The sequence below is a fragment of the Homo sapiens genome, chromosome 7 (genome assembly GCF_000001405.40).
Source record: "Homo sapiens chromosome 7, GRCh38.p14 Primary Assembly".
In the NCBI taxonomy this organism is placed as follows: Eukaryota; Metazoa; Chordata; class Mammalia; order Primates; family Hominidae; genus Homo; species Homo sapiens.
The window spans coordinates 102,204,088-102,230,479 of record NC_000007.14 but is presented as its reverse complement, the minus strand read 5'-3'; the positions used below and the strand labels follow the sequence as shown (position 1 = coordinate 102,230,479).

Here is a 26,392-nt window from a genome sequence, read left to right as displayed (position 1 = left end):
AGTGTCTTGCTCTGTTGCCCAGGCTGGAGTGCAGTGATGCCACCGTGGCTCACTGCTGCCTCAACCTCCTGGACTCAAGTGATCCTCCCACCTCAGCCTCCCAAGCAGCAGGGATTACAGCGGGTGCCACCATGCCTGGATAATAATTTTTAAAAAATTTTTTTTTTGTAGAGACGGGGTCTCACTGTGTTGCCCAGGCTGGTCTCGAACTCCTGGCCTCAGGTGATCCACCTGCCTCAGCCTCCCAAAGTGCTAGGGTTACAGGCCACCTGTCATTCTCAAGTGAGCCACCATGCTCGGCCTCCCTTCTCTTCTCATCCCATGGGAGAAAGAAAAGACACACAAGGCCTTTCCATGAGCAGCAGACAAACTGCAACCACTCGGTAGGGTTGTGCTTACATGCTCTGCAGAGAACACTGCCCCTTTAACTGACTTTCACCCTTGGGAAATAAAGATAGAAAGGGTGGGTTTCCAATCTCCGCGTGCCTAAACCAGGGAACCCTGCCTGGTTAACACCACACTGGAGGAGCACGGTGGTTTAAAATGACAAAATAGGCTTGGCTGGTGTGGTGGCTCATGCCTGTAATCCCAGCATTTTTGGAGGCCAAGGTGGGTGGATCACCTGAGGCCAGAGGCCAATTCGAGACCAGCCTTGGCAGCATGGTGAAACTCTGTCTCTACTGAAAATACAAAAATTAGCCAGGCGTGGTGGTGGGCACCTGTAATCCCAGCTACTTGGGAGGCTGAGGCAGGAGAATCGCCTGAACCCAGGAGGCAGTGATTATAGTGAGCCGCGATTGTGCCACTGCACTCCAGCCTGAGTGAGACGGTGAGACTCTGTCTCAAAAAAAAAAAAAAAAAAAAAAAAGGCCAGACACGGTGGCTCATGCCTGTAATCCCTGTGTTTTGGGAGGCCGAGGTGGGTGGATCACTTGAGGTCAGGAGTTCGAGACCATCCTGGCCAACGTGGTGAAACCCTGTCTCTACTAAAAATACAAAAATTAGCTGGGCACGGTGGCGGATGCCTGTAATCCCAGCTACTCGGGAGACTGAGGCAGGAGAATCGCGTGAACCCGGCATTCAGTGAGCCGAGAGGCTGTAGTAAGCTGAGGTTGCGCCACTGCACTCCAGCCTGGGCGACAGAGTGAGGCTCCATCTCAAAAAAAAAAAAAAAAAAGATGAAACACCGTAACATTCTTACAGCCACAGCAGCTGATGACCAGTGACACAGAGCACAGACAACCAACCCAGGCCGAGCACCCAGGGGGCTAGAGCATGTGCCAGGCCGAGGCCAGGTCTGAGGCACGGTGGGATGCCAGGGTGACGGAGTGAGTTCCCCAGGGGCTGCCCGCCCCAGCTGTGGGCTGTGAAATGGAGATGGCTTCGCAAGGCAGCGGGAACAGCAATGATAAAATAACAATGACTATTATTACCAGTCGGGCCTGGTGCTAGAAAATGCTGCTACTCACTGCTCCCAGGCAGGCGTGGTTACTCCAGTTTCGTGGAGGGGGATCTGAGAATGCAGGCAGCCTGGCCAGCATCACGGACTCAGTGAGCAGAGTGAGAACCGGGGTCCGTTAGACCTTCCACTAAGCCATCCTGGCACTGCCGGGTGGACGCTGCCCAGCTCTGGAGCCCCGAGGATGCCAGGCTCTAATGGGTGTCTACCTCTTTCTTTTTTTGAGACAGAATCTCACTGTGTTGTCCAGGCTGAAGTACAGTGGCATGGTCATAGCTCACTGCAGCCTAAAACTACAGGGTTCAAACGATTCTCCTGCTTCAGCCTCCCGAGTAGCTGAACTACAGGCGTGCACCACCATACCCGGCTAATTTTTACATTTTTTGTAGAGATAGGGTTTTGCCATGCTGCCCAGGTTGGTCTCGAACTCCTGGCTGGACTCAAGCGATCCTCCTGCTGTGGCCTCCCAATGTGCTGGGATTACAGGCATGAGCCACTATGCCCGGCCTAATTTTTAAATCTGTTATAGAGAAGGGGTCTTGCTATGTTGCCTAGGCTGGTCTCGAACTCTTGGGCTCAAGTGATCCTCCCACCTTAGGCTCCTGAGTAGCTGGGACTACAGGTGCACATCAACATGTCCAGCTAATTTTAAAATTCTTTGTAGAGATGGGGTCTTGCTATGTGGCCCAGGCTGGTCTCAGACTGTGGCCTCAAGAAATCTGGACTTACTCAGACTGTCTCTATTGAGATACATCTAAGCCAGGCACGATGGCTCATGCCTGGCTTGGGATCCTGTGATCCCAAGAATTTTGGAGGCTGAGGTGGGCAGATTGCTTGAGGCCAAGAGTTCGAGACCAGCCTGGCCAACATGGTGAAACCCCACCTCTACTGAAAATACAAAAATTAGCCAGGAGTGGTGGCAGGTACCTGTAATCCCAGCTACTCAGGAGGCTGGGGCACGACAGTCACTTGAACCGGGGAGGCAGAGGTTGCAGTGAGCTGAGATTGTGCCACTGCACTCCAGCCTGGGTGACAGAGCAAGACTGTCTCAAAAAAAAAAAAAAAAAAAGAAAAAAAAGAGACAGTCTGTGTGGATCCTCCCGAGTCCACTCTGACTCCATGCTCATCTTCTAACTGGTCCCCGTGGGGGTGCAGGGTGGGGAGGAGGTGGGGACTGACCTGCAGACGGCACGCTCCTTACTGTTCACAACTATAGGATGTTTCATGTTCTCAAAGGGTGCCTACACAAGTTGAGACTCTGTGGTTGGCTTGGCCTAGGGCCCGCCCTTCACCTGCTCCTCCTGCAAACTCCCTGCCACCTCCTGACTCAGCAGCCGAGAGGAGAACCTACCGAGGTTGTTGTCCGTCAGCACCTCCTTCACCCGCTTGGTTATGCCGTAGGTGTCCAGCTCCGGGGACATGGCTACTAATTCTTGGATGCTGAGGGCCGAGTGTCCGGAGAGAGGCAGCGGGGTTGTGGGCTGGGAGTCGGATGCTGGCGGGTCACTGGGCTCTGGTGGCTTGCTGTCCTTGCTCGCCTCGATGGGGGGACAGGGCTGCTGGACCAGCTCGGTCAGGCTCTTCACCGACTCACTGGAACTCATCGGGGACTCAGGGGCAGGGCTGCAGCTGGCGGAGGTCTTTGGAGTGCTTTCTGTAATTAAAGCACACGAGAAACCGTGCCTGAAAATAGCTGTCTTTTACCACGACCATCTACGTTCCTTATCTAGGAAATACTAATTAAACGCTCTGTAGGAGAAGCAGACGGTAGGGTTTTCTGTGGGTCTTAGTGAACTGTTTCATATTTTTTTGACTGAGAGTAACCTCTAGTCTTCCATATTAAAAAACAAAAATAACATCATTGCGAGAAAAACTAGGGGTTTAAAAGAAAGGCTTCGGAAGGCTTAACATGAGGGCATTCTGCTAAAAAAACTCCTATTAATCATGTTATCGCTGTCATTTCTTCTAATGAAACCCCATAATTTGGTAATTCAGAAGCACTTTGGCTAGATCATAACTTGTGTAGTTATGTTGTCCATATTTTCCAGAACAAAAAGCATAGACAGATTGTTTTAAATGAGGGCTGCCCACAATACGTAGTCACCACAGTTAGGAAGACCCTTAGGAGGAAATGTGGCTGGGCGAGTGGATCATCTAAGGTCAGGAGTTCGAGACCAGCCTGGCCAACGTGGTGAAACTCCATCTCTACTAAAAATACAAAAATCAGCCAGGCATGGTGGCTCACGCCTGTAATCCCAGCTACTCAGGAGGCTGAGGCAGGAGAATCACTTGCACCCAGGAGGTGGAGGTTGCAGTGAGCCAAGATTGTGCCACTGCACTCCAGCCTGGGTGACAGAGTGAGAGTGAGACTCCATCTCAAAAAAGAAAAAAAACAACAACTGCGGAAACATAAGGCTATAGCTTCTGGTCCTCCAGCACTGGGTCTCAGGACCTAGGTTGGTTTATTTTTACTTTTATGTTTTTAGAGATGGGGTCTTGCTCGGTGGCCCAGGCTGGAGTGCAGTGGTGCAATCACGGCTCCTCCTGGACCACAGGTGCACACCACCATGCCCAGCTGTTTTTTTGTTGTGAAGAGCAGAGAACTCCACAGCACCCAACTCTAGGGGAAGATGGAGAGAGGCAAGGAGAGGAGGAGCACCCTGTTTCCCCAGCTCTTCCATTTTAGAGTTCTACCTCCAACCTTGGGACTTGCTGGTTCTGCCTGCTTCTGAAAACCGAGCTCTTTGCTGGTATAAGCCATGCTGTAACCAACAGCAGAAGTGACTGGGCTGGTGTGGACAAGCCAGAGTCTACACTCTCCTCTGCCTTGTTGGGGTCGCCGTGGGTGCCCAGTGGGAAATGCCAGCTGGGCTCTGTTGGTGAGTGATCCCTCTGGCCTCTGATAACAGCCCATAAAACCTGATAAAAGAGGCTGGATTCCAGTTCTGGGATGTCTGGGATAAAGACTTAGACCATTTCCTAATTTCTGCAGATAGAAACTGTCCTGGAGGAAGATGTGGCTTCGGGCTGAGGTCCTGCCTGCAAGGCAGAATCTGCCCCTGGCCCAGCTCAGTGTCTTGGCACAATCTCTCCCCTGATGCCCACTGAGGGTGACACAGAGTAAGACCCCACAGTGCCAGGTAAGAGGGCCCAGGCCATGCTCTCTGCTCCCAGGGTCTTGTAAAATTTTTTTTTGTGGAGATGGGGTCTTGCTAGGTTGCCCTGGCTGATTCAAAATCCTGTGCTCAAGCAATCCTCCCACCTCAGCCTTGCAAGTAGCTGGGACTGCAGACTTGCACCACTACACCTGTCTAATTTTTTATTTTGTAGAGATGAGGTCTTGCTATGTTGCCTAGGCTGAACTCCTGGCCTCAAGTGATCCTCCCTTCTTGGCCTCCCAAAGTGCTGGGTTTACAGGCAGGAGCCACTGTGCCTGGCCAAGGGTCTTACTCTTGCTGCTTCTCCCTTGGGCCCTAGCAGGTCACTCAGTCAACATCAGCACCATAGTAGATAGCCCAAAATACTTGTTACCTGGCTGAAAAGAAAATGTAGCATAGAGCAGCAACTTAACTTCAATTTACCATTTATCTTAAGAGTCCTTTTCTGGACATACTGTATCCAGGATACACTAACCTGCCATAAATACATTCCAACTACAAGGAATATTTTGTATTCATACCTAGAAAGAGCAAAACCTCAAATAAAACATTTGCAACTTAAGCGATCAACCCGTTTATCGTCCTGAACCGGCACAAACTTCCGCCATCGCATAAGGCTGTGTCCTTGACCTGGGAAATCAGGTTACAAAGAGAAAAACACATGCCAAACCGGTTTTTGAAAGATGTAGAAGAGACAAGCGTAAGAGGCAGAAATGGTCCGTATAAATCTTTAGGGCAATGTGAATCTTACAAATCAGATTTCTTCTCTCTGCTCACCCCCCGGGTCACCAGAGAACTGGATATAAAACCCCACAAATGTTATTTTTGTGTCTGAAGCCGGCAGAGGAACCGTACCGTAAGGATGGCGTGATTCACCCATGCGAGGGGCCGGCCTGGCAGATCATCCATCTTGCTCACCAGATACTGTCAAGGATGGCATGAATTTCCCAAATGATAAACAGATTTCTCTTCAGGTTTTGTGTCCTTTAACCCACAGCAAGGTCAACATCATGGCTGTCTGGCTAATAAACCGAGTGTGGTGCCGGCTGCTGTGGCATCTCCCTGTTTTGTTCTGGGTGCTGGCGGAGGCAGAGCCACCACGAAACTCAGAGGCTGTACAGTTCTTTCTTCCAGTGCGCCTTGCAAGCCAGTGGCGTGGATTTGTGCCATCATGAACCCCCAGGAGAACTAAACAGGGGCGCTCACTACTGTTACAGGTGTCCCTCTGTGCTCCAGGCTGTGACTACAGACAAAGGCAGGCCCCCTGAGATCAAAGCCCTGTCCGAGCCCTGAGAGGTCCAGGCATGTGAAAGTGACATGTGGCGGCTGGTTGCTGGAGGTGGCTTGTATCTGTCTCTCCACTCTCAATCTGAGTCTAAAATGCAGAAGACCTTTGGGAGGCTGAGGCGGGCAGATCACTTGGAAGACAGGAGTTTGAGACCAGCCTGGCCAACGTGGTGAAACCCCCTCCCTACTAAAAATACAAAAACCAGCCAGGCATGGTGGCGGGTGCCTGTAATCCCAGCTACTGGGGAGGCAGAGGCAGGAGAATGGCTTGAATGGGGGAGGCGGAGGTTGCAGTGAGCTGAGATCGTGCCATGGCACTCCAGCCTTGGGGACAGAGTGAGACTCTGTCTCTAAATAAATAAATAAATAAATAAAATGTAGAAGACAGCTGGAAGCTGCATGCTCTTCCTGGGAGATAGTTTACTCGCCAACAGACATCTGCATGCACAGTTGTGGCTATGGTCTCAGGTCAAAGAAACAGGATTGAGTACATGTTTTTTGCACAGGCATGGAGAGATGCCACAGCAAACAGACGCGTTGGAGACACCGTGAATCCACGAGCTCAGAACATCATGTTGGGGAGAAAGTCATTCTTTTCTTTTTCTCTTTTTTGAGACAGAGTCTCCCTCTGTTGCCCAGGCTGGAGTGCAGTGGCACGATCTCACTGCAACTTCCGCCTCCCGGGTTCAAACGATTCTCCTGCCTCTGCCTCCCGAGTAGCTGGGATTACAGGTTCGTGCCACCAAGCCCAGGTAATTTTTGTATTTTTAGTAGAGATGGGGTTTCACAATGTTGGCCAGGCTGGTCTCCAACTCCTGACCTTAGATGACCCGCCCACCTTGGCCTCCCAAAGTGCTGGGATTACAGGTGTGAGCCACCGCGCCTGACCCTTTTTTTCTTTTTTTATTATTATTTTTAATTGCATGGAACAGAGCAAAGCCTTGTTGTTTCAGAAAGTATCGTTTTAATCACAGGGCTCCATCTGCTAATGTTTGAAAGGAGAAGTAATGTTTCTTTTCTATTGACCATATTTTTGTTCTGTTAGGACAGACAGTGAATCCTACAGGAAGCCAACTCTCCCCGCTGCACAGAGGGTCCCCTCACCCTCGCCACCCTGACAGGGTGAGCCACTGCACCTGGTCAAATGTATTTGTTTCTATAAAGACCTACAGTCAACATAAATCTTATGACTGAGTGCTATTTCTCCCACAATGCCTGACACATGACAGGGACGCTGGCGACAGACTCAAAAGGCCACATCCTGTATGATGCATTTATCTTTTTTAAAACATTAAACTTTTTTTAAACTTTAAAAAATAGAGACAGGGTTTTGCTATGTTACCCAGGTTGGTCCTTAAACTCTTGGCCTCGAGTGATCTTCTCACCCTGGCCTCCAAAAGTGCTGAATTACAGGTGTGAGCCACTGTGCCCGGCCACTTCCCACATTTTACACAGGTAAAATATGGTGCCCTGGCCAGGCGCAGTGGCTCATGCCTGTAATCCCAGCACTTTGGGAGGCTGAGGTGGGCAGATCACCTTAAGTCAGGAGTTCGAGACCAGCCTGGCCAACATGGTGAAACCCCATCTCTACTAAAAATACAAAAATTAGCCAGGCGCGTGCCCAGCTACTCGGGAAGCTGAGACAGGGGAATTGCTTGAACCTGGGAGGTGGCGGTTGCAGTGAGCTGACATCGTGTCATTGCATTCCAGCCTGGGCAACAGAGTGAGACTCTGTCTCAAAAAAAAAAAAAAAAAAAAAAAAAAGATACGGTGCCCCGAGACACACAGCCAGGAGCTAGGTGGATGGGCCATATTCTAAACAGCCCCTGTACAGCTGGTGGCGCCTGCACCCTGCGCCCAAGTGTGCGTTAGTGACAGAGTGACTGTGCCTGCCTTCCCAGGCACAGTTTTTCTACAACCCACATATCGACATGCGTGAATCTCGAAGACTTAACGATGAGTCACAAAAAGCTGATCCACTCATAGGATTGTGGAAGGGAACCAAAACACATTTCATACCAGGCGTGAATGGAGCAGCGAGCTGAGGGCGTCTGCATGTGGCTTCATTCAATTCTCCCAATGGTCCCTGGGGTGGAAATTTACACCCTACATCCCAGGTGAGAAAACAGAGGCTCAGACAGGCAACGTGACTTGGTTAAAGTCACACAGATGGTGCAAGGATCAGGAGGGGAAAACCTCGACCTTCCTACCCATCCTGCTATCTGCCAACACCACGTGATTCTGAATTGCAGCCTACCGTCATTCCTGCGTCATTTCACTCTCATTTTAATTTTTTTTGAGACGAGGTCTTGCTCTGTTGCTCCAGCTGGAATGCAGTGGTGTGATCATGGTTCACTGCAGTCTCGACCTCCTGGGCTTCAGAGACCCTCCCACTTTAGCCTCCTTGCCAATGTATGACCCAAAGTAGCTGGGACCACAGGTGTGTGCCACCACGCCTGGCTAATTTTTGTATATTTTGTAGAGAGATGGGGTCTTGCTATGTTGCCCAGACTGGTCTCGAACTCCTGGGCTCCAGCGAACCACCCACCTCTGCCTCCCAAAGTGCTGGGATTACAGGCATGAGTCACCGCATCCAGCCTACTCACATATTTTTAAAGCACCTACTCTGTGTCTTGGGGATAAGGGAGAAATCAGACAAAAACCTCGCTTCCAAGGACCCTGCAGCCTGCAGGACCAGGACAATTGAAAATGGGTAATTTGCATATTTTAAAAGCCCCACTGCACAGTACCATCCATCCAGTTTTGACAGCAATAGTAAGGTGTTACATTTAAAAAGTCATCTATGTGAATTAATTTTTTTTTTTTTTTTTTTTTTTTACAAGGCACTGAATCTGGCATAAGAGGAGCTTGGTGAGCAAGCTACAGAAAGCAGAGATAGTGACTCAAGGCCCTCTGAGATACACAAGGCATTCACGAACTATAAAAGGATTATGAAAAATATTATATTCCAAAAACAGCAGGCAAACAACAGCTGCCTTAAGTTTTCAATGGGAGCCAATTGAAAACCCGCACCCGCCGTAATTCTCGGAGATACATCTCTCTGCAGTTCTTCCGATCTACTGTTGAAATTTCCATACCCGGCCCTCTATCTGCAGTAATAAGAACCCAAATTCCATTTAGTGTTCATTTGAGCAGTCAGGATAAAGTCGTTTCTTATTATCTCCCCACTGTGTAAAAAACAGCTTGAAGGTGGGAAGTCAGCAAGCATTTTCACCAAAAAGTAATTATTGTAAGTGACATTTTTACTGCTGGCATGCCATAAGGCGAACTGTGCATTCAGAAGGACAAGTTGCTGAAACAAAATGACAGGGTACTCCGTGACATTCTGACAAGAACCCAAACATTATTTAACTGGCGGCTGGTCTGATGCGCCACTTTTCATTCTGTCCATGGTTTCGGCTTTGAGCCCATGCCAAGCCAGGAAATTCCAATGACTATACAGACAGACACGTATGGAAGGGCGGGTGGAAGGAGGGAGGAGGTTAGGGGAGAGGGGAGAGGGGAGGTGGTCGTGGCCTGGCACATTAAGTGTGAATGAGCAGGGGAGCCGGGCACGGTGGCTCACGCCTGTAATCCCAACATTTGGGAGGCCGAGGTGGGCAGATCGCTTGAGGTCAGGAGTTTGAGGCCAGCCCTGCTAACACGGCAAAACCCTGTCTCTACTAAAAATACAAAAATTAGCCAGGTGTGGTGGCATATGTCTGTAGTCCCAGCTACTCCATCTCAAAAAAATAAATAAGTAAATAAAATAAAATACAAAATAAAAAAACACAAATAAAAAACATCAAGGGAGCCCTGGAGGAGAGGAAAGGAGAGCCCGAGGGAGGGATGGGCCTGGAGGTGGCGGGGACTGGTGCAAGATACAAGGATGCACGGCAGGCTCTGAGGTGCCCGGTGTGGGCATGCCGGGGCTGGCAGGAGCCCTAGAGGCTCAGAAAGACTCTTCCCAGCCTGCGGGCCTTTCCAGCGACCGGTGCTGACAGCTTCAGAAGACACAACAGGGTGGCCACCAGCCTGGATACTTCCTAGCTAGGTTTAGAGGGACAGATCGTGATGTGGGCACCAGACCTGCTCCGGAACTGACCCTGTGCTCTAAACAGACCACACCCCCTGGTGGTTTACGCCTGGAGTGAGTTTCTCAGCATCAAAGGGGAACAGCAATGCTCATTTGGCCTCCTGTTTGTTTTTTGTTTTCAGATGGAGTCTCACTCTGCTGCCCAGGCTGGAGTGTAGTGGTGCAATCTCGGCTAACTGCAACCTCCGCCTCCCGGTTTCAAGCAGTTCTCCTGCCTCAGCCTCCTGAGTAGCTGGGATTACAGGTGTGTGCCACCAGGCCCAGCTAATTTTTGTATTTTTAGTAGAGATGGGATTTCGCCATGTTGGCCAGGCTGGTCTCGAACTCCTGACCTCAAGTGATCTGCCTGCCTCAGCCTCCCAAAGTGCTGGGATTACAGGTGTGATCCCACTGTGCCCGGCCCTGTGCCCGGCCCTGGCCTCCTGTATTTTGGTCATACAGGCTCATATCACAAACATGAGACACCCTTGCATGACCAGCTCCGAAATTTCTGAACACCAAGGCTTTCCTCAACCATGGCAGCGACGCTGGGCTCCTCAGTTCCCAAGCCTTGCTTCTGAATCCAGCAGCAGAAGCTCACAGCCCTGCTGAATCTCCATCGGAACAGTCCTCCATCTCCATTAGACATCGCCCATATAAAAACCTACAGTATTCTTCTTTTGAGTAAGACTGGCATCTTGACTGATTAGCAAGAGCTTGAAACAAAATATGCAGCGACTTTAGCAGATGTCACAGAGACACTCATGAGCTTTCTGCACCTCCTTCCTGGGCCACTGGACGTTTCCTTACCATGAAAGAAACAAAAGTAGCCCAACAACATCCTAAGGAATATCAGAGACGTACCCAGCGTGGCCAAACTACAAAATGGCTTTCTTTCCAAGAAGGTGAGCAGCTATGCCTGACGCCAGCGGGGGGCCGACGCGAAGGTCCAATTCCCGAGGGTCCTGGGTTGGCCTTCTGCCCCCTGGGAAGGTCTGTGCCCTTACAAGTGGCAGCATCAAGCTTTGGGCACATCCCTTGCCAGCCCCAAACCTATCAAATCACTGTTTTTCAACAGCAGAAAGAACCTGAGAAAGATTCTGTAGGGGGTGTGGGGGAGGAGGTGGAGAAGGGTTGGAGTGGGAGGGAAGATGCCTCAGAGGAACTAGAGGGGATGGGTGGTAGCTCTGCCCCACTCCAGGAAAGATCAATGTCCCCCCCACCCCCACCAATGGGTGCCAGTTTCTTCTATAAAATGGAACAGCAATGATTTTCTTTCTCTCTCTCTCTCACACACACACACACCCTCTGCAGGGACTAAAGAAAGAATAGGATAAGATGAACTCAAAGTCTCTGGTACCTAGTAGGTGCTGGGGTGTGTCTGTGTGACAACTATATAGCCATAGTGTGTGTGTGTGTGTGTGTGTGTGTGTGTGTGTGTGTGTTTTGAGGCAGGGTCTTGATCTGTTGTCCAGGTTGGAGTGTAATGGTGCAATCTTGGCTCACTGCAGCCTCTGCCTCCTGGGCTCAAGTGATCTTCCCACCCCTGCCTCCTGAGTAGCTGGAACGACAGGCGTGCACCACCATGCCTGGTTATTTTTAATTTTTTGTGGAGATGGGGGGCCTCACTATGTTGCCCAAGCTGGTCTTGAACTCCTGGACTCTAGTGATCTTCCCGCCTCAGACTCCCAAAGTGCTAGAATTATGGGCCTGAGCCACCGTGCCTGGCCAACAATATATGTTTTTAGGTTTGCCCGAGAAACTCTTATAATGACATGGGAGCCAAAATTCTTTCTCTCTTGATTTTTTTCTTGAGACATGGTCTCACCCTGTTGCCCAGGCTGGAGTGCAGTGGCGTAATCACGGCTCACTGCAGCATCGACCTCCTGGGCTCAAGCAATCCCTCTGCCCCAGCCTCCTGAGCAGCTGGGACTACAAGCACATACCACCATTCCAGCTAATTTACTATAATTATTATTTGTCGAGATAGGGTCTCACTATGTTGCCCAGGCTGGTCTTGAACTCCTGGGCTCAAGTGATTCTCCTGCCTCGGCCTCCCAAAGTGCTGGGATTACAGGCATGAGCCACCATATCTGGCCCCAAAGAAAACCTGTTTCAATTAGAGCAAGGTTGTTTAACTTGTGTGATTTGTATTTTACCTCCCCAAACCTGACTTCTAAGTTACTTGAAGATGGGACCTGAGCTTTCCACAATGGGGAAACCCTCCATGTGCCAGGTGTGGGGGTACAGCCGTGAGCAAGGCAGACCCTGCGCCCCCACATCTTGTAACCAAAGCGGGAGGCCGAAGTCACTAAGCAGGTCACTCAAACAAAGAGTCTGGGACGAGGGTGTTTCTGGGGAGAGCAGTGTCAGGGCAGGGTCTGGAGGTGCAGCAGTGCAGGCAACATGGTCCTGGCCACAGCACAGGGGTGTGACAGGTCCCTGCTGCCAAGCGAGTGAGAAGTTGCTCTGAGAAGTCAACCATGAGCTCCTCTAACTAGAGGAGACACCATCGTGTCCATCCAGAGCCTTTCTCCCTCTAGACACCATCGCATCCATCCGGAGCCTCCCTCTCTCTAGACACCATCGTGTCCATCCAGATCCTCCCTCCCTCTAGACACCATCGCATCCATCCAGAGCCTCCCTCCCTCTAGACACCATCACGTCCATCCAGATCCTCCCTCCCTCTAGACACCATCGTGTCCATCCAGAGCCTCCCTCCCTCTAGACACCATCACATCCATCCAGAGCCTCCCTCCCTCTAGACACCATCACGTCCATCCAGATCCTCCCTCCCTCTAGACACCATCGTGTCCATCCAGAGCCTCCCTCCCTCTAGACACCATTGCTTCCATCCAGAGCCTCCCTCCCTCTAGACACCATCGCATCCATCCAGAGCCTCCCTCCCTCTAGACACCATGGCATCCATCTGGAGCCTCCCTCCCTCTGGGGATGGTTTTCGACTCTCCTCTTTCATCTCCCCGACATGGGAAGGTACGGTGGGGAGAAATGATCTTAGAAATTCTGTGTTGGCCTGAAATGCACGAGGAGGAAGCTGCAGAGGTGATGAGGCCCTGTGGTTGGCGGGAACCTGCGCAGAACCAGAGCTCACCCGCGGGCGGGGAGGGGACCTGCCGGGGATTCGGAGTGGAAAGTCACTTTCCCTCTGGGCTCAGTTGGCTTGTGTATCTTTTATAAGCTCTTAAGGAAATAAGCATATCAAAAGCAGAGCTTGAAGATATTAAAAATTAAAAACCCTGCTTAAATTACAATTCGATTTTGGTAGTGAACTCAGTCTGGCCAGATTGCTGAAGGGACACTGGGTGACACAGATGGCCCTGCTTCAGGGGCACAGGCTCGCCTTGTTCCGGCTTTTCTGCAGATCCATACTGATTTAGAAATGATGCTTTCAAATTACCTTCAATAACCTTATTACCAAGCCAGCTGTGTGTACGAACACTTATCAATGCGTCCCTGTGCATTAAGACAAAATGTATGTCATACAAACAGTCTAAATATATATTACTAAGACGGGAAAAAACAAAGCCTCTAGTTAAATTGCTTTGCTGTAATCAAAGATTAATCACTGCAAATGTGTGTGTGTGTGTGTGTGTGAGATAATGTGTGTGTGAGAGAATGTGTGTGTGAGGGAGAGAGAATGTGTGTGTGTGTGTGGTGGGAGAGTGTGTGTGGGGGTGTGTGTGGGAGAGTGTGTGTGTGGGAGAGTGTGTGTGGAAGAGTGTGTGTGTGCAGAAGTGTGTGTGGGACTCTGTGTGCATGTGTGTGTGGAGAGTGCGTGTGGGAGTGTGTGTGGGGGAGTGTGTGTGTGTGAGTGTGTGTGGGAGAGTGTGTGTGTGTGCGTGTGTGGGGGTGTGTGTGTGGGGAGTGTGTGTGTGTGTGTGGGAGTGTGTGTGTGGGAGAGTGTGTGTGTGGGAGTGTGTGTGCGTGTGTGGGTGTGTGTGTGTGGGGGGGAGAGTGTGTGTGTGCGCGCACACACGCACGCCCTCTTTTTCTCAAGGGTTCAATTCTGGCTTTGGACAAACCTACCCATCCCTTACCAAGTCATGCTCTCTGGCCGGTGTGCCCACTGCCATTCTAATAGTGAAATTAATTTTTCCAGATTTCTGAGACTTGGAAGAGCTAAAAAGAGGTCAAGGAGGTCTTTTTTTGTTTGTTAAATTTTGAGATGGGGTGTTGCTCTGCTGCCCAGGCTGGAGTGCAGTGGCGTGATCTCAGCTCACTGCAACCTCCACCTCCTAGGGTCCAATGATCCTTCCGCCTCAGCCTCCAAAGTAGCTGGGACTATAGACTATAGATTATAGATGCACACCACTACGCCTGGCTAATTTTTGTATTTTTTGTAGAGATGGGGTTTCCCCATGTTGTCCAGGCTGGTCTCAAACTCCCGGCCTCAAGTGATCCTCCCGCTGCGGCCTCCCAAAGTGCTGGGATTATAGGCGTGAGCCACTGTGCCCAGGCAGGAGGTCTTAAATGTTGTTTTCTTTCCGAGTCTTCCAGGCCTGCAGCCCAGAAATGCTCCTTTCCTGCAGGCACATGGTGGACAGCAGGCTTGGGGGTGCCCATCTGTGTGGAGGATGCTGCGTCTGCCCCGAGAGCAGCCTGTCCTCCTCCCTCCATGATGCTGCCTGTTGGCCCAGTGTGCGGGTAATGTCTGGGCTGCAATGGGATATTCCTCAGAGAATCCATGGCTGATCATGGCCCGTGGAACACGCCGGTGTGGTGGGGTGCCTCCTGTCTTCCACTCAATGCCCAGGTGAGTGAACTCACTTGGCCCTACAAAGACCCGGGCAGAACCAAGTTGAGATTTTCGTCTTCCACGATGGTATTAGAAAAACCATTAAGGTACATTATTTTACACGTCCTCCTAATCTCTCCATACTGCTTTACTTAATTTGTGATGAAATTGTTGAGAAAGGGTACTTAATGTAGGACAGTCAGTAAAAGTAATTTATCATCTTCCCGCTTCGGTGCTCACGTTATCAGCGAACTCATTTCTGCATTCATCATGCAATCAGCCTATTATTTGCATATTAATCAGGCAGTGGACCGTGAAAGAGCGGCATCCCAGCCAAATGCTGCACTATCTCAGGAGAAACACTCAGTAATTATCATACATCAGTGTTATGATGTGATAATTGATTATAACATCTTTCTGCTGCCCCTGGGGAGTCCCTGCACTAACCCAGCTCCAGGCACTCTGGACAGATTTTTCTTTGCTTGCAAAAAAAAAAAAAAAAAAAAAAAAAAAAAGTTGGAGTAACCATTGCCATGCTCTTAGAATGCTATTTCTGGGGAGCATTGACTGTCTTTTCCACATTCACGAGGTGTTTTTAAGCCACATGGAACAAAATTGACCTTAACTCTGGAATGAGAAGGCCTGATGGCGAGGAAGGAGTGTCCCTCTGGGGCCCGGGTGTCCTCTCTCCTCAGCCTCCTGGGTTCAGAGGTGCTGCTAAGGCATCCATAAAAGTTTCCTTATCAAATAGAATGTTCCAACTACCGCCTAATTGCAAAGCTGGTATAAAGGTAGTTTGGCTGCTTTATTTAGGTGCCAAATGACAGACTAATTTTGGCCGTCAAGGAAAGGACAGACCCAACATCTGCCAATTCAGACTCGGGCTATATTTAGGAATCCGGTTCCAAAGGGAAGAAGTAAACGCAAAATCTAGAGGAGGCCCCGATGGAAGCCTCCTGCCTGGCTCCCAATCTATCCAGGGCAATGCCATTAAGAAACTCCCCTCCTTATCCTCACCGGGAGCGGGGCAGGTCCCTCGGGCCAGTCCGCATGGGGCTGGGGCCTGGGTGTCGGCATGGCTCCGGGGGGCCGTGACAGCTGAAAGGCAGGGCTGCCCTGTAGCAGGCAGAGGACCTCAAGCCAGTGTGTATACGTTCACTGAATTTAGACCAGAAGAGGTTTCAAAGGAGCATGGACACTCCATGCAGCCTAGGCCAGGTGGATTACACATTTTCCAACAGCCAAACCTAGTAAATGTGGCTTCCATGCTGTCACTGATTTGCTGATTCAACTCCTGGGCTCAGGCAATCCTCCTGCCTCAGCCTCCTGAGTAGCTGGGACTACAGGCGCACACCACCATGCTCGGCTAAATTTTAAATTTTCTGTAGAGATGGGGTCTTGCTATGTTGCTCAGGCTGGTCTCAAATTCCTGGACTCAAGCGATCCTTGAGTCTTAGCCTCCCAAAGTGTTGGGATTACAGGCGTCAGCCACCACGCCTGGCCACCACCTTCTTCTTGATTGGGGCAAATCACCTTTTATCTCTGAGCCTTGGTTTACTCCATCCGTAAGAGAAGGGAACCATTTCCACTTATTATTATTATTATTATTTTTGAGATGAAGTTTTGCTCTTGTTGCCCAGGCTGGAGTGCAGTGGCGTGATCTCGCCTCAGTGCAACCACCTCTGGGTTCGAGTTAATTCTCCTGCCTCAGCCTCCCGAGTAGCTGGGAATACAGGCATCCGCCACCACACCCAGCTAATTTTTTTGTATTTTTAGTAGAAACAGGGTTTTGCCATGTTGGCCAGGCCGGTCTTGAACTCCTGACCTCAGGTGATCCACCCGCCTTGGCCTCCCAAAGTGCTGGGATTACAGGTGTGAGCCACTGAGCCCGGCCTCACTTACTGATTAAGGATTACGGACATCAGCTCTGTGAGTGGCACAGAGACCACACCAGCATGTGGACTCCCTTGTTTTATTCCCACCCCCCTTTCTGCAATCACCTGAGGGTTTCTAGGCATTTAAGCTTCTTCATTCCTTCCCTAGAATTCAACCACTGAAAACTGAAGTCCTCATTTGCTCCTATGACCTACTTTTGCCTCTTGTACTGAATGCCCAATGTGCTGTAAATTCTGTTTTCTATGGAAAGCCTGAAGGGGAGAGAACGGGATGTGTCTACAAGCTGGACTGGGCCTGTCGGGCCTTTTCAGAAGGGGAAACCAGGGAGCACCAGGATGGAGGGTCCAGGGAAAGCGACGGGAAGAACGAGAGTTATGTGAGCCCTCAGCCTCGCCGGCTGTGTCTAGCCTAGTTGGCCTGGTTCCATACTAGCTTGGCCCCAAATGGCCTAAGCAATGACCTAGGCCCTATAGTCTTACTCTGGAAGCTCAAGGTTTTGTGTCCACTTTAAGGAATTGGTCAATGAACAGGCAACTTCCAAGGATGGAATAGCATTTTGTAGAAGTCGAGACTTTGGAAAGGCACATATAGATCACCTCTCACAGGACTGCGGCACCAGGAGTACCCTGCACCATCTGCAAGGGACAATCTCCACCAAAGGAGGTGGGAAGATGCGACTAGATTCTGTTTTAAAAGCAGACATCTGGCTGGGTGTGGTGGTGCACACCTGTAACCCCAGCACTTTGGGAGGCCAAGATGGGTGGATCACCAGAGGTCAGGAGTTCGAGGCCAGCCTGAGCAACATGGTGAAACCCCGTCTCTACTAAATACAAAAAATTAGTCAGGTGTGGTGGTGCACACCTGTGATCCCAGCTACTTGGAGGCTGAGGCAGGAGAACTGCTTGAACTCGGAAGGCGGAGGCTGCAGTGAGCCGAGATTGTGCCACTGCACTCCAGCCTGGGTGACAGAGCGAGACTCCCTCTCACACATGTACACACAAAAAGGGAAAATTCTCCATGTGCTGATGGAGGAAGGTCTCCACGGTGTGTTACTAAGTGAGAAAAGCAAGGCACACGGCCTTTTTGAGGCCTGCACGCCCCCCATCTGCGTGGAATAAATATTTAGGTGCATGACTGTCCTGAAGGACACATGACAAACTGGGGATGGTGGTGGGGTGGGGTGTGGGGGTGGGGGTGGTGTGTGACAGGAAGATGAGGGAGGGATGGTGACCGATTTCTTAAAAAGACTGTAAGTTTGAATGCTTGCATTTTGTAACTATGGTGCATTTTACTTCTTGGAAAAAATCCTGCAAATCATAATAAAAACAAAAAAGTCAAATAAATCGGTGACTCTGGGCTATGACTTCCCTCTCTTTGGGTGAGGCACAGGGACAAATTCTGCTCTAGGAACAGAGACTTTGGGGGGCCGAGTTCTGGCAAAGCAGCCTTCCCCAAGGGTGTGTGACGAGTGGTGCTGGAAGGTGGGACTGCAGGGTGCTGGGGCGGTGCTGGCAGCCTGCGTAGGCTGCCTTGCTCACTTGATGACAGCGACGTTTGTTGCTTTGAAACAAAACCTAAAGTGGGCTGTGGTACTCAGCACTGGCTGCCCCTGACATCTGTGCAGGATCTGTGTGTGCAGGGTCCCCCAGGCAGGGCTGTCCTAGGAACAAAAGACCCTTCAAATACCCATGTTCTCCTGCATAAATGTCACAGGGTGCTGGTTCCAGCAACATGTGGCCAGCCCCCATCTTGAATCCCACAAGCATCTGGAGGCGCTTGGGGAACTGAACAAGCAGGTCACGCACAGTGACAAAGGGGCTTTCCGGCAAGGTCCCTGAGTGATCCCTATACATCACACATCAAGGAACTTTTGAGAAGCGCATGTGCCCTTCCTCCTGTGGCTCTTGGGGCGGCCCCCCAGCCTCATCTCATCAGCCGGGACTTCCCGTGCTGCTCCCGCGCGGCCTGCCTCACCTGCCTCTGGAAGGGTTCACAGTGGCACAGCCAGTCCCTTTGCATCTTAGCTCAGCCGAGATCAGGTTGAGTTTTTTTTTTTTTTTTTTTTTTTTTAGATGGAGTTTCACTCTTGTCACCCTGCTGGAGTGCAATAGTGCAATCTCGGCCCACTGCAACCTGGGTCTCTCGGGTTCAAGCAATTCTCCTGCCTCAGCCTCCCAAGGAGCTGGATTACAGGTGTGCACCACCACGCCTGGCTAATTTTTGTATTTTTACTAGAGACGGGGTTTCCCCATGTTGGCCAGGCTGGTCTCGAACTCCTGACGTCAGGTGATGCACCTGCCTCGGCCTCTCAAAGTGCTGGGATTACAGGTGTGAGCCACTGCGCCCAGCCGAAAAGCTGATTCTTTAATGTCTCCAATTGAAGAGGTATTCTTTTTTTGCGGGCGGAGAGGGTCTCGCTTTGTCACCCAGGCTGCAGTGCAGTGATGCTATCATTGCTCACTGCAGCCTCCACCTCCTGGGTTCAAGTGATACTCTTGCCTCAGCCTCCTGAGTAGCAGGGATCACAGGTGCAAGCCACCATGCCTGACTTATTTTTATATTTTTAGTAGAGACCGAGTTTCACCATGTTGGCCAGGCTGGTCTCAAACTTCTGACCTCAAGTGATCCACCCACCTCGGCCTCCCAAAGGGCTGGGATTACAGGTGTGAGCCACCGCGCCTGGCCCCTGCCTGCTTTAGACAGTGCTGTGGAATGCCCAGGGGTGCAATCAGCCTCTCCTGTCCCTATGAACATGCTATCCACATGCCCCCGACACTGACTGTTAGCCATGAATGTGGGAGAGCCGACTGACTGCTTATCAAGGACACTGCTTTAGAATCTTACTGCAGAGTTCAAAGCTCACGAGCCCTGGACACGTGTTCCTGGCTGTCTGGTGGGAACCAGCTAAGAGCCATGACCATGATACGCATGCACATTCAAAAGGAACGTGGACCTGTCCGCGATAGGGGCTGCAGCCAAGGGGAATCTCCTGGTTGTACAAGGTCATGGACAGCCCACGGCCCCGTGGGCTTCACGTCAAAGAGGGGCACACATTGGACCACCCACATTAGAGACAGACCATAGCAGCTGTCTTCTCAAAGAGGCAACTGATACTCTGTTGGCTGACTGGGAACAGCAACAGGCAGCAGAGAAGGCTTGGAACCCATCATTCCTAACACGCCAGGAAAGAGCTGGGTATTTCACGATTCAGCCAAGGGCAGGGGACCATCCTTCCACCTGGATAGCCATAATACACCTGAAGCCAGTGTGAATGCAGACGTAACAGCTTGTTAGCCACAGCAATGAAACGCTCCCACATTAAAAAGTTACAAAGTGGCCGGGTATGGTGGCTCACATCGGTAATCCCAGCACTTTGGGAGGCCAGGAGTTTGAGACCAGCCCTGGCAACAGAGACCAGGTTACTTGGGTATTTGGAAATAAAGAATAAAAAAGGCCGGGTGTGGTGACTTACACCTGTAATCCTAGCACTTTGGGAGGCCAAGGTGGGAGGATCACCCGAGGTCAGGAGTTGGAGACTAGCCTGGCCAACATGGTGAAACCCCATCTCTATTAAAAATACAAAAATTACCTGGGTGTGGTGGCAGGCACCTGTAATCCCAGCTACTTGGGAGGCTGAGGAAGGAGAATTACTTGAACCCCGGAGGTGTAGGTTGCAGTGAGTCGAGATCGCGCCACTGCACTCCAGCCCAGGTGACAGAACGAGACTCCATCTCAAAAAACAAAAACAAAAACGAATAAAAAAGAGAGACCCACTTCTACAAAAAATAAAAAAATTAGCTGAGTGTGGTGGAAAGTGTCTATAAGTCCCAGCTACTCAGGAGGCTGAGGAGAGAGGATTGTTTGAGCCTGAGAGATTGAGGCTGTATTGAGCTGTGATTGTGTCACTGCACTCCAGCCTGGGCAACAGAGTGAGTCCCCGTCTGTCTATAAAAAATAAATAAAATAAATAGAATAAGATACAATAAATTGCTAAATGATAAGAAGGCCACACTCTGAGCAAACAAGCCTTAATGAGCCTCTACCTTCTCCTCTATGAACATTTGGTATGGTTAAGTAGTGTGAGGTCCAGAAATGAGGGATGAAGCCTGGAATGACTGACAGACAAAAGGGGCTTGCAGAATCAGTCCCCAAGGACCACCTGCAACTCCATCTTGAAATGAAGTTTTCCAAATGAGATCAAAGATGACCCTGGTTATAACTACACCCCCCTTTATATCCCAAGGTGCTGGGCATTTTGCAAGAAGCAAACAAAAAAAAATATTTGTAGAAAGTTAAGACGTACCAGGAAATCTATGAACAGGTAACTGATCTGAAGATTTGTCTCTTAAAAATCCTTTTTCTTAAAAAAAAAGTTACTCATGACTGGCATGGAACCTACCGCTCACCTTACGCCTTTTCAAGGCCTCAACAGTGTCTAAGAAAAAGTGGTGGGTCACTAGTGACGCTGCTGCTTAAAAATGGCATCAAATTTCCTTAATGCCCAAGCCCGTCACCCCCATGCTCGGATTCTTAGAGGAACATTCAGAACCAGTTGTATCCACCAAGAGGAAAAAGTGATGATGTGAATGAAATGTCAGTTTCTCTCTCCTTTTTGGCAAATTGGCGTCTAAGTCATTAAGGAAAACGGAAGGACAGACAAGGCAACAGAGCCCGGCAGGAAAAGGCTGACGGGAGCTCTCAGTGAGGAAAAGAAAATAGACTCCTGGGCCAGCAGCTTGCTGTTCAGATGGGCGAGGCCACTCTAGCGCAGGGCACCTGATCACCATGGTAACCGAGCACAGAGCACAGAGCCATCCGCCCCCACGGACTCCGCTGTAAGCCCGATTCCCTTACTGCAGGGCTGTGGCTGGCTGAGCAAGTTGTCCAAAGTCCCTGCCTACCTGGGAAGGAAAACCAACCGCCAGTCCATCTTCGAGGCCCAGAATCTCAAGCACTGAGCATTTCTCACTGACATTCAGGAAGAAGCCAAGCCGGGCTTGCAATGACCTTTCTGCAGACATTGGTTCTACCACGGCGAGCTACTTGAGGCAAGCAATGGAGGGAGCATCTTCTGGGTCTGGGGGCCTCTTGAAAGGATTCTGGGGTAGCCATGGGAAGAACAGGGAATCGGAATCCTGTAGCAATCTTAGGACAGAGGCTCGCTCTCCTGCTTCAGGGGCAGCACTGCTGGAAGCTTCCACAGAGACACAGTCAAGGAAGATTCTAGTCTCTCATGTCACTAATCCCAAGGATTTACTAAAAACCACTGTTAGCAACTCTATTTTTCTAAATTAAATTCCATATACTAGGTGGGGCACGGTGGCTCATGCCTATAATCCCAGCACTTTAGGAAGCTAAGGCGGGTGGATCACCTGAGGTTGGGAGTTCAAGACCAACCTGGCCAACAGGGCGAAACCCCGTCTCTACTAAAAATACAACTAGCTGGGTGTGCTGGCGCATGCCTGTAGTTTCAGCTACTTGGGAGGCTGAGGCAGGAGAATCGCCTGAACCCAGGAGGCGGAGGTTGCAGTGAGCTGAGATTGTGCCACTGCACTCCAGCCTAGGCGACAGAGTGAGACTCCATCACACAGACACACACACACACACACACTCCATATACTGTGAACATAGCTTTTTTTCTTTTCTCTTTTGTTTTTTTTTGAGACAGGGTCTCCGTCTGTCACCCAGCTTGGAGTGCAGTGGCGTGATCTTGGCTTACTGCAGCCTCGACCTCCTGGGCTCAAGCAATCCTCCCGCCTCAGTCCCCCAAGTAGCTGGAACTACAGGTGCATGCCATCACACCTGGCTAATTTTTGCATTTTTTGTAGAGATGGGGTTTCACCATGTTGCCCAGGCTGGTCTCGAACTCCTAAGTTCAGGTGATCTGTCTGCCTTGGCTTCCCAAAGTGCTTGGATTACAGATGTGAGCCTCTGTGTGAAACTCCCTTGAAAAGTAACCTCTGATAGTAAAGATTCAGACGAGGAAAACCATATGATAATCTCTTTTCTTTCTGGCAAAGCCCTCCTAGTCTTCCTGGTCCAGAGAAATATTTTCACTTGGCCATCATTATGCTATACAATTTTTTAAAATTTTCCTGGCCAGGTGCAGTGGCTCACACCTGTAATCCCAGCACTTTGGGAGGCCAAGGTGGGGGGATCACCTGAGATCAGGAGTTCGAGACCGGCCTGGCCAACATGTTGAAACTCTGTCACTACCGAAACTACAAAAATTAGCCGGGCGTGGTGATGGGTACCTGTATTCCCAGCTACTCAGGAGGCTGAGGCAGGAGAATCACTTGAACCTGGGGGGGTGGAGGTTACAGTGAGCTGAGATTGTGCCACTGCACTCCAGCCTGGGTGACACAGCGAGACTCTGTCTCAAAAAAAAAAAAATATTTTTTCCTGCAAATAAGAAATCTTTTTCCATTTTTCTCCCTAGTCACCACGATTTTTGCTTCTGCTGGTGGCTTTCCTATGACTTCAAGATTTTGGGTAAGTGATTTGTGCTCAACCTCCCCTCTTGCTGGAATGACATGGAAGGCGGGTGGGGGAGACACACCCATCTGCTGCCTCTTCACAAAAACCACTGGCAACTTCTACACTCTGTTCCGTTTCATCCAGGGGCTCATCGCCTTTTTCTCTCTCCTGCTTCCAATCTGCGAGATTGCCCAGGAGTCTTAACTAACTTTATTCTATAAAGTCAATTGATATTTTACAAATATCATTTACATTCCTCTTAGGAGCCTAGTGTGTTTTTCCTAGGTTTGAAATGTGACTGTTGTACAAACGTTCCAGCACAGTGGCGATGATCCGTTACAATACAAAGTAAAACGTCATTCTTCAAGGATTTGTTCCGTCACATAGAAGTTGCTTCTGGCATCGATCATTAGCAGGCCTGGCACCAGGGGAGACTTCCTGTTTTATGTAGGACGAGGGTTTTTTTTGTTTTTGAGATGGAGTCTCGCTCTGTTGCCCAGGCTAGAGTGCAGTGGTACGATCTCAGCTCACTGCAACCTCCGCCTCCTGGGTTCAAGCAATTCTCCTGCCTCAGCCTCCTGACTAGCTGGGATTACAGGCTCCTACCACCACACTCAGCTAATTTTTTTGTATCTTTAGTAGAGACGGGGTTTCACCACGTTGGCCAGGCTGGTCTTAAACTCCTGACCTCAGGTGATGCACCCACCTCGGCCTCCCAAAGTGTTGGGATTACAGGCGTGAGCCACCGCACCTGGTCTAACAAGGGGTTTTGATCTAGAATACATTAGTCACTTTCTGCCAAGTTCAGTCCTGCCTCAATGGAATCAAATACTCTCGTGAGTTTCAAGAAGGCCAACTTCCCGTTAGAGCAGGGGGTCAAGGCTAACTTTCCAAGCAGACGTCCGTAAAACTCCAGCACAAACAGCTATGTCCATTATTTCCCCTGAAGTATTCTGAACTCGAGCCAGTGCTGGATTAGTTCTTGGTACTTTCTAATTAAATTGGCCAAGCCAGAATGAGTGATCCCTTCTTCCAATGGGCACCCGCTCCACCTAGATGTCCAGCCAAGAAGACCCACGGCGCGGGTGAGATGCAGCCTCTCGACCCCCACGTTGGTCAGAGTCAAATCAGAACACGGAAAACACGCAGAACTCTCAACTGGGGACTTGGATGCCACCGAGGTGCCCCGGCTGCATCTGTATGAGGGTTTGGTCTCTTGTAGAAGCAGCAGCCACTGCCACACAGCTGTTCCCCGTGCTACACATGTTCCCCCTCGTGGAGCTTGCGGCAAGCTGGCGGGCTTCGTGCTCCTGTTAGCTTTGTTTGTGTTTTCAATGAATCAATGGGATATGGAGACGAATCAACATGTTTAGAAAAATACAGAAAGGGAAAAAGAGGACCAGCTCACAGTGCTGGCTGTTCCTAAAAGCTGGCTGTGAAAAGCTCAGCTCCAAGTGTGGGATTGGCGCACGAGAAGGGAGGCGGGGGGGCGCAGACGAGAGCCTGGGAGCCGTGGCCATGGGTCAGCCTCGGTGGGCTGTGTCCAGGCACCATGTGGCAAAGAGAACAAGTGTGGTTGGAGACCTCGAGGCTGTGAAATGCAGACAGGAAGGAGCCCGAGTTTCTCAGCCTGCAGCCACCACTCTCCGCCACCACCTGCTCCCAGGCTCAGATCTCAGTCCCCAGCTCTCCATTCGTTCACACCTGAGCTGTCTTCAGGGGCTTCCTGGCCATTTCCTTTCTGCTACCCTACCTTTCCCACTGCTCAAGCTCAAAGCTCCCCATTTTCTTGCTCAGAGGCTGCCTGGATGTCTTCCGGTTAGATAAGAAGTCCCCCGACATGACCCCACCAGGAGAGGGACGTGTGCCCGTGCTTTATCCCTTCCTATCAGACGGTAAGCCCCCTGAGTGGGGAATCTGTCTCCGACTTAGACCCCAGCCCTGAACACAAGGCTCTGGGCCGACAAAGGATGACAGTGGGCGTGCAAATCTTGGCAGAGTCCCTCCATGCACTGTCAGCTCGCTCTCCATTAGAAACTGACACAGAGAGGGACCCCGTTTGCAGATAGGATGCCATATTTCAGCTCCCCAAATCCAGAATGTGCGGTCCCTCGGAGTCTCGCCGGGACAGACCACAGCACGGGACAACAGAAAAGGCAGTGAGACATTTCATGCAAAAGCAACAGAAACTGGCTGCTTACCTGAGCTCACACAGCCCTGCTGCAGCGGGTCCTGGAGCGATGTCACGGAGTGGAGGACTAAAGTAGAAAAAGGTTATAATTAAAGGAAGGAACGCGGCCCAGGGCTTAAAGCTTCCTAACTGAATGTGGCAAGGCCCGGGGAGGCTTCCCATTCCTCCTGGGGAGGGGCGGGCATGGGGACCCACGGGCCGGGGAGGCGCTGCTGTTGCAAGGCCAGGCCCCCGGGCCGGGAGCAGGTGAAAGGTTTCGCCTGTGACATCTTCCACTTTTGTACCTTTGGCTGACTTTCTTTCCTGACTCCCTGATTCAGCTACTTGACTTTTACCTGTATTTATGTATAAACAGCATTTTTTAAATTGGTAACTCATTTTCTGCTGCTTATAAAATTAGACAGGCATGATCTCTCCTAAACACTGAAGTCAGTCCCACGGCAACAGGTTGTGGAGGAAGGGGACGGTTCTGTCCCCCAGCACCAGCCCACGGTGGGGAGTGTGGTTGGCCACCTCCTGGGGCGGAGTTCCCTCCTCCCTCTCTGCATAGCCCAGGTGGGGCTGCTGTGACCAGGTCCTTGCTATGGGGGGGCAGCCCCTCTCCTGTGGCAGGACCCCCATTACCTGGCCCTTGCTGCTGGCCCTGGACGGGTAGAACACCCTGGCCTAGCTCGCCGTTCAGCCAGAGCTGCATCCGGATGAAGGGTTCTCGGCCTTTCTGCGTCAGCTTGCTCCATGGCTTCGGTCGGGACAGCATGTCGCTGACGCTGCCCTGGGACAGGCCCAGCACCTGGAGTGGCACCGAACACACAGGCCATCAGTGCCTGGCTATTAGCATGACACCACAGATGCTGCTGCAATGCACACCCACCACGCAGAGGGCGCGTCTAGGGCTGACTTCTGAGCACAGAACCACGGCCTGGTGGCGGTGACAGCTTGTGGGCAGGGAATATGCATTTAAAGATCAACGGTGGCTGAGACCCCGGCACAGGGGGACTTTCGGGTGAGCCATGGTTACAGCCACAGCTCTCAGCTCCCAGGGAGGGAAGAGGGTCTCATCCCAGGGTCTTGATCCTGCCAAGATGGCAGGGCT

General features: G+C 50.8%; 1 protein-coding gene across 25 annotated transcripts in view, besides 1 other annotated feature; it reads right to left on the bottom strand.

Moving 5' to 3' along the window:
* The window catches only part of CUX1 (cut like homeobox 1), a 467,952-nt gene that overhangs the window by 53,479 nt on the left and 388,081 nt on the right, over nucleotides 1-26,392 (bottom strand). For 19 of the 25 annotated variants that reach the window (NM_001202543.2, XM_047419908.1, XM_047419912.1 and 16 more), the window contains 3 exons: nucleotides 25,924-26,089; nucleotides 25,310-25,366; nucleotides 2,811-3,113 (listed from right to left, as the gene is read on the bottom strand). The exons of the other annotated variants lie outside the window; for them this stretch is intronic. In NM_001202543.2, the coding sequence (NP_001189472.1) occupies nucleotides 2,811-3,113; nucleotides 25,310-25,366; nucleotides 25,924-26,089 (526 nt within the window). The remainder of the gene's footprint in view (nucleotides 1-2,810; nucleotides 3,114-25,309; nucleotides 25,367-25,923; nucleotides 26,090-26,392) is intronic. 25 annotated transcript variants of the gene reach the window in all.
* Nucleotides 18,386-18,695: an enhancer, noted in NCBI's record as "active region_26420". NCBI's record gives its function as "activates an Ori minimal core promoter by ATAC-STARR-seq in GM12878 lymphoblastoid cells {active_cell/tissue: GM12878}" and the evidence as "EXISTENCE:reporter gene assay evidence [ECO:0000049][PMID:35858748]".